The sequence below is a fragment of the Homo sapiens genome, chromosome 15 (genome assembly GCF_000001405.40).
Source record: "Homo sapiens chromosome 15, GRCh38.p14 Primary Assembly".
Classification (NCBI taxonomy): Eukaryota; Metazoa; Chordata; class Mammalia; order Primates; family Hominidae; genus Homo; species Homo sapiens.
In genome coordinates this window covers 46,598,348-46,606,530 of record NC_000015.10, presented here as the reverse complement: position 1 = coordinate 46,606,530, position 8,183 = coordinate 46,598,348, and positions in this window count along the sequence as shown.

Below are 8,183 nucleotides of genomic sequence, written 5' to 3'. Positions count from 1 at the left end.
ATTTGTATGGGACTTGATATTCTAATGTAAATATGGACAGCAATGCCATATATTAGTACCCAAATTTCCCTACTGTTAGGGAAAACAGCAATACCTTTTTCATGCCTCCACACCCAGATGCACAGAGAACCATAGATAAGGCATTGCTGTTGTTCTTGTTTTCCTAATTTAGATTAATTTAGATCACTACAGGAATAGTGATCAGTTAAGAAACTACCAAATGCACACAGCTCCAGAAGAATTCAGACCTTCTTCATTGTGGCGGGATGTATGATTTTATAATGCTGTGTGTATTGAGTGTAATTGTGTCTTTTGAATCTTTTTGATAGAATTGAGGAAAAAACATGTGCAGTTCTAAAAACGGCTGTCGTGTCCCTTGCCTCTTCTCTCCACGCTCAATCTAGTTGATCTACTTCTGCCTTCTGGCACCAAATCATTTCATTATTTAGTTGGCTTATTATCAAGCAAAACTTATTGCCAGTATGGTTCTAACCTTCTGATCTATTTTGAGTAATTGGTCCTTTTTGCTTAACAATAGTATATGATAAGTATATGACTATTGAATAGCTGGGCTCAAGTCTCAAATCTACTAATTTTAGAGGTGTGACTTAGAACAAGTTACTTAACCTTTCTGGTTCTTCATTTCTCCCCTTTCTAGATTCTATAAAATGAGGCTAATTATTCATACGCTGTAGGGTGTTTGTGATAAGAAAATAAAATAATGTATGTTAAATTGTTTGGGACATAATAGACAATAAATGTTCCTTTGTCACTCAGAGTTCTGGCACAATATAGATTATGCACACAAAAGCTAATTAGATATAATTTAATTAAGGTGCTTTATACAGAAGTTAAGGAATGAAAAGCAGATGGTGACACACACAGGAACTAACTGCAAGTGTTATCAATGCTAGACCTAAAGGGATAGAAGGATCCTGTCCCCAAAGAGAGTGAGAGCTATACGTATGTGTGAGGGGCTTCTTGACAGGATCCGTGGCCTTCAGTAGAAGAAAGCAGTTACTGCTGAAATCTCCCCTGCCAGGGGTACAGGAAGGGTAGATGAAGGCAGAAATAATAGCCCAGTCTCTCTATCTTCATACCCTCTGATGTACTACTGGATTCTTTCATTGGTTGATCCCAACTGGAAGTTAGAAGACAAGGAAACCCAAATAATGCTGCCAATACCCACCACATCACTGGAACAGAGAGCAGAAGGAGAAGGCTGAATGATGAATCTAAAGGAGCAAATGAAGAACTGTTGGCACAGCTTCTTTTCTTCACCTTCTACTTCTATTACTGTAGTGTTCTATTTATCTATATCGATCACTTTTTCCACTATTGGCTTTCAATAGAAGATAAGGTCTTTGAAAGCCAGCATGGCATGTCTTTATCGTGCCAGCATTTCCTAAAGGATGTACATTAAACAAGTTGTGTATGAAAAATGCAACCTACTATATATAACCCTTTGCAAAAACACATTAGCAACATAAATGTGCTTATAAAAGCTCTTAGCAGTTTTGTAGGAAATAAATAATAGGCAAAATATTTACTCACATAGTTATTTTTCAAGGACTATAACTAATACATAACCACTAGTTCCTGGAAATGCATTTTTGAAAATTATTGCACCCCTAATGCCAAGGCCAGGTTGCAGAATATACTATACACTCAATAAACATTGAGTGAATGCATAAATCATGGAATAACTCTATGACTGGGTCTTGAATTGATCTTGATAAAGAACTGTCTTGCCAAATTGTTCTTGCTGAAGAATCTTCTCGTCACTTTTTCTCTTCAGAAACTGGAATCTTGCCTCTTACGTGTAGTCTGATTAACTACATTCATTTTCTCGAAAGGTTCCTATGTGGCTAGCCACCCATGGGTGACCTGGTTGCATTATGAGTAAACAGTAAACAACATCATCAGTCATCAGAATCTCTACAATTTTCTTCTATTTAAGATTCCCATGACTATCTATGTCTGGGGAAATCTTAACACTCTTTGGAGAAATGCCAAGACTACTGGGCTCAACTGGCTCTGAACTCGGAAGATACCAATTTCCAGCCATCTGCATTAATTTCCTTTTGTAACTTGTATGTGAGTGTTCCTTTGGCATTGATCCTATCCCATTGGATGAAACTAGTTTCCAGCCTCTCCCAGTGAATGCTGATCGCTACCTTCTCTTCCAAACATAAAATATTGAGCATGCAGTACCATCTGCCTTATCTATTGTCTAGATCAATAAATCCATAAGGATAAGATATATTTCTGTAAAGCTACAGGCCCTCTCTCCACCCTCACAGCCCCTTTCTATCTTTAAGTAACTTTAAACATACAATCAAAGCAAAACTGGCATAAGAGAGCCAAATTTAATGAGTGAACAGAAGAGCTGAGGAAGCCAAGCGTCTAGAGGAGATCAACTGTATTTTCTCAGGACAGTTCCTAGGGAGGGGAAGAGCCAGAAAGAACAAGAGGCCAAGAGAAGAAGGAGAACTCTTAGAGAAGAGATACAATTCTTTAGTAATTGCTCAATTTCAGCAATTACCAAGGTCCTTATTTGGTGACAATGAGAGAAGACCATTTAGTGAAGGAAAAATGTTCATCATTATACAGAAATGTATGCACACTTGAGATTTAGAATAGCGAAGGCAATAATCTGAGGGCAGCAGAGATTCTGACCATAGTGAGACAAGGTTCCATGACTTCATTTTTAGAAAATTCCTTGGATGATGTGAGGCTGCTTTCTGCATTTTAAAAAGGATACATACATACATACATGAAGATTAAAGTTTTTCCTTTTTTTACATAGAAACATGTCAGCATATGCTGCAAAGTCATGGAGAGAAGAATGCATACTTCATGCTCCTCCCCCAATTATCAGCTGAAAGAGAATCACTGGCTTAGAATTCAGTCTCTATTTTTGTATTGGTGAAGGTTTGATCAGGGAAGCAGAACCACCTGGAGTTATGTGGAAAAAGGAATTTATTATAGGGACTAAAAAGTACACATTGTGGAAGGTGATAAAAAAGTCTGTGATAAGCTCTTGTATGTGGTGGTGGTCATGAAGTTTTGTAAGTCAGCAGAGTGAGCACTGGGAAGAAAACTGGGACATGAAGCAAAGGAGAGTGAGAACAAACTGGAACTTGGGAGGACATAACCCACATCCGCATCCAATCTCAATGATGTAATATTTTGGAGAAGAAGCTGGTGTCCTTCATCCCTAAGCTGCACACATGCCTGGCTTAGGGCTCAGAGAAGATGAAGGAGTGCAAGAAGAACCCGGAAGAACTCCAAGCCAGACTGCTCTTCCTCCCCAGTCAGGTGATGTAGCAGATCAGTGATATTGTGTGCAAGTTTCAGTGGCATGTGTCATGCTTCAGCCTTTAATGACTACTACTTATCTTCTCCCTTCCAAATCTTGCACAAACTTATCCATTGCCCAGTTTGTCCCAGAACCATATAAGGAAAGCAATTCTGGGTAAGTTTACACCATATAAAATCATAATTCTAATTGAGATAAGTTGACACCATATAAAATCACTGCAGTTGTGATACTTTTAGCAATGTAAAAAACTTGGAAAGGCATTGGAATAGATCCTTAGGACAGTGTCTCCATTGATTCAAAGTGGGTTGGAGCAGAAAGAACCTCACAGATATTGAGATCAAATAACCAAGTATTTATTTACTCTAATGTTGCTGGGAGAGTTAGCCATGCACCCCCATTTCCTGCATAAAATTAAGGAGTACACTGATCTGCAGTCTGTCCTATATCTGAATGTCAATTGTTTAACTCAGCCATTAAATAAACTTCAAATTAGTAATGCTAAAAGCTTTCCCTATTCAATCTTTGCCTTAGTATTTGGTTTATTTCTAAAACATTTTTAATAAGAGTTTAAAGATCTATGATAAGAAAATAGATGAAAATTACACCAAAAATTCTGACAGTTGAAAATTAAACGTGAATGCAAGTTATCAATCTGAAAATAAAGTGTGTTTCTGTATGTAAAATTTTAAAAAGGTGTTGATTTATATTTGATTCATGGTGTGAGTAGCTGCATTATGAATGATCAATGAACATTATCATCAGAACAATGTCACACTATTACAATTATGGTGCATCAAAAATGCAAACTTAATTGTTTAGCTCTTAATGAAATACAAAAGCCACATGTTAATAATGTTAAAGTTGTGGTTCGATCTGACAAAGTCAAAGTTAAGATGATGATAAACCATCCCAAACACTTTGATATCATAATATAAAATATATCATAGAGGTTCCATACCCTACAGCCACCACTCTCCCCACTATGAACAGCAGAGAACATCTTTTCAAAATCTAGTTGACTGGCTTTTTGTAGGAAAGAACATGGTCCTGAGTTAAGTTGACAACTCAACTTACTTCATTTTGTCCAATCTCAAAACAGACAAACATAAAAAATTAGGAGGCATCCAAATAAAGTGCTCCTCCTTATCCACAGTTTCACCTTCTGAGGTTTCAGTTGCCTGTGGTCAACTGAAGTCTGAAAATATTAAAATGGGGAATTCCAGAAATAAGCAATTCATAAGTGTTGAGTTATATGCTGTGACATGCATCATTCCTTTGTCCAGTATATCTACACTCTATATGATACCTGCCCTTTAGTCACTTAGCAGTCATCTCAGTTATTAGATTGACTGTTGTGATATCACAGTACTTGTGTTCAAGTAACCCTTTTTTTACTTAGTAATGGTCTCAAAGAGCAAGAGTAGTGATGCTGGCATATTGTTATAATTTTTATATTTTATTTTTATTTATTGTTAATCTCTTATGCCTAATTTATAAATTAAGCTTTATCATAGACATGTATGTATAGGAAAACAGTATATATAGGATCTGGTGCTATTGGTGGTTTCATGCATCCACTGGAGGTCTTAGAACATATCCTCTACAGATGAGGGAGGACTACTGTACAAGTTTTTCTATAAATTCTTGCAAACAAGTTACATCATAATGTAATCATAGGTCAAATTGCACAAAGCAACACACTTCAGGCTATAGGGTAGTGTAGTATAGTGTAGTGTAGTGTAGTATAGTATAGTGTAGTATGTCTTGGATAATTCTAAGAAAAAAAGTGTGTGTGTATACACACACACACACACACACACACACACACACACACGGACTCTCAATAGACTTTTTTCCCCAATATTAGGGCTTTAAGCCTAATCAGCCAGCTGTGGAAAAAATCATCCATTCATCATATCACTGAACTCTTGAAAAAGGGGTGCCAAGATCAAATGCCTTCATTAAGGCAACAAAAACAGTTACTGAGAGAGATTCTGAAAACAACCACAAAGTAGTTGTGCTTTGTGTTCATTGCCTCCTGAATCCATTGACGTCACTACATAGTAAGAATTTCTGGTGAAGAACAGAATTCTTAAAACCTCCAACAGACAAATCACTAGGTCCTGAGTTTACATCCCTGTTTCACTCATAAGCATATAATAATTTCCTGGGTGTGTTTTATATCTATAGGTTATTCTTAAGTCAATCTTAAGATTTAGAATGATTTAGATTTAGATTTACATTACTTTCATTATGTAGATAGCACTAGTGATATTGGGGATGGTGGCATCTGAATTCATAAGTTACACATTTTATCCATCATTTCAGTAACATCACTTTACTGACTCCAGGGGATGCACCTGAGTAATATGGCTATTTATGTATATAGATTTATTTATTTTTGGATCTTTTTTCATGTGTAGAATGTCAGGAGATCTGGAAAAGCCCTGTGAGAAAACAGATAGTATCCTTAATCCTCTGACCTATTTACTTAAAAGAATAAACTAGATGTAGGCATCTAACAACTTCAGGGAAGTTGGTAATAATGAAACCGCTGAATTTTCCTGAAAATCTTCTCTCCATCCCTAAAGCACCTTCTACATTAGAATTATCATCTCCCCTTCATATATCTTAAATAGATTTGATTACTGGCTGTCTTAGTTCATTTGTGTTGGTGCAAAGAAATAGAGACTGGGTAATTTATTTAATAAATGAGGTTTATTTGGCTCATGGTTCTGCAGGCTGTAGAAGAAGCAAGGGGCCAGCATCTGCTTCTGGTGAGGGCTTCAGTGAGCTTCTATCATGGCAGAAGGCAAAGAGGAAGGAAGCACCAGAGAGTGGAGGGAATTTCCTGGCTCTTTTTAACAGTCAGTTATCTCTGGGACTCATTACCTCGAGGACTACAGCAAGCCATTTATGAGGGATTCACCTCCGTGATCCAAACACCTCCCACCAAGTTCCACCTTCAATATTTGGGGATCAAATTTCAACATAAGATTTGAAGTAGACAAATATCTAAACTATATAATTGGCTTAGAATTTCTTTTGAGGTCAGGAGATTGAGACCACCCTGGCTAACACGGTGAAACCCTGTCTCTACTAAAAATACAAAAAAAAAAAAAAAAAAAAGCCAGGCCTGGTGGTGAGCGCCTGTAGTCCCGCTACTCAGGAGGCTGAGGCAGGAGAATGGTGTGAACCTGGGAGACGGAGCTTGCAGTGAGCCAAGATCGTGCCACTGCACTCCAGCCTGGGCAACAGAGCGAGACTCTGTCTCAAAAAAAAAAAAAAAATTCTTAGTAAATTACTATTTCACTCTAAGAAAATTCTGATTTCTTTATGTTAATACACCAGAGAACTTTGCTTTCTTCAAAACTTTAGTAATCTTTTCCTATTTAAAGTACTCTGTTTTATTTTTTATTAATATTTAGCCAAAGAAGCATTTTATTTCAGGATCTGGTCTTTTTGAATATTGAGTTCTATCTATTCTGGCTATGGTACTTGGGGTGCCAATTCACTCAACATTTCCTGAATCATAAAGCACTGTTTTAGCATGATCTCCTGGAATTTCATAAATTATGTATTATAGTAAATCTTTCTTTGCATTAAAAAATTAGATATTAAAATGCAAATTTTAGTACTTTTAAACTGAAGAAATACAGAAAAAAATGAAAAAAATTAAGTAAAATACCTCAAATTCTTATGCTTCTGAAACCTTCCTTCCTGGAGAAATCTCCTCTGGGCTAGAAGGGTTAAAAGCTCTCGCTCATTTACATTGTCCACATTAAGCATATTTTGACATAATCTTCTCAGTCCTTAACATCTTTCTCTCTATCCATATACAAGGTTAAAATTCATTTTGGGGAACCACCATGAATAAGATTTAGCTCATTGACTTCTTACCCCAACTTTTTGGCAGGTGGAAATTGCAGATTCTTGGTTGCTGTTTCTGGCCTTTTCCACACAATAATGGTTCTACCTATCTGTTCTGCCCCTACTCTGCTTCACTTTGATTGTCTATTTGGCTTTCTTTTTGCTTCCCCAGAATCAGGATTCAGCCCTGAACATTGCTTTCAATTTTCATGAGACAGACTAGAAAACCTGTAACTTTTATACCCAGCTCAGATTTCTGTGATCTACCTCTCTAAATCTGGATATGATATGTCAGATACCGTCACTTATCGAGAAAAATCACACACACACACACACACACACACACACACACACACAGTTAAGTTCTCACTTAATGTTATGGATAGGTTCTTGGAAACTGTGACTGTAAGCAAAATGGTTATAATAATAAAACTGATTTTCCCATAGGTTAATAGAAGCAGGAGTAAAGTTCCTATGGCATATTTCTGGTCACAAAAAAATCACCAAATTTTAAATAAAGATCCAAAATGCTTCTAATATTAAACATTGAAATAAATATGAACTATACATAAAGTTTTTAAAGTTTAATAAAAACAAGTAAGATTATATACCTAACTTTTGGTGAATCAGTGAGTGACAGTGGTCATAGTGGTTGTGGCTTAGATTGAGGAACAAATGTTTGTGAAGTGAAAATTGTAAACAGCACACACTACCACCAAACAGTTCAAGAACAACATTAACAAATATGGCGGGCTTACTAAGCTCTTCTGTACTGCATTGTTTATTATCATGCATTTGTATGATTGTATACTTAAAAAATTTTTATTTTACAATAATTTGTATTCATTCATTCATTTATTTTTCTAATCCAATTATTCCAGTTCAAGGTGATGGGTGGCTGGAGCCTCTCCTAGCAGTTTATGGGGCAAAGCAGAAACCAACCCTGGACAGGACGCCATTCCATCACAGGGTGCACTCACACAAATAC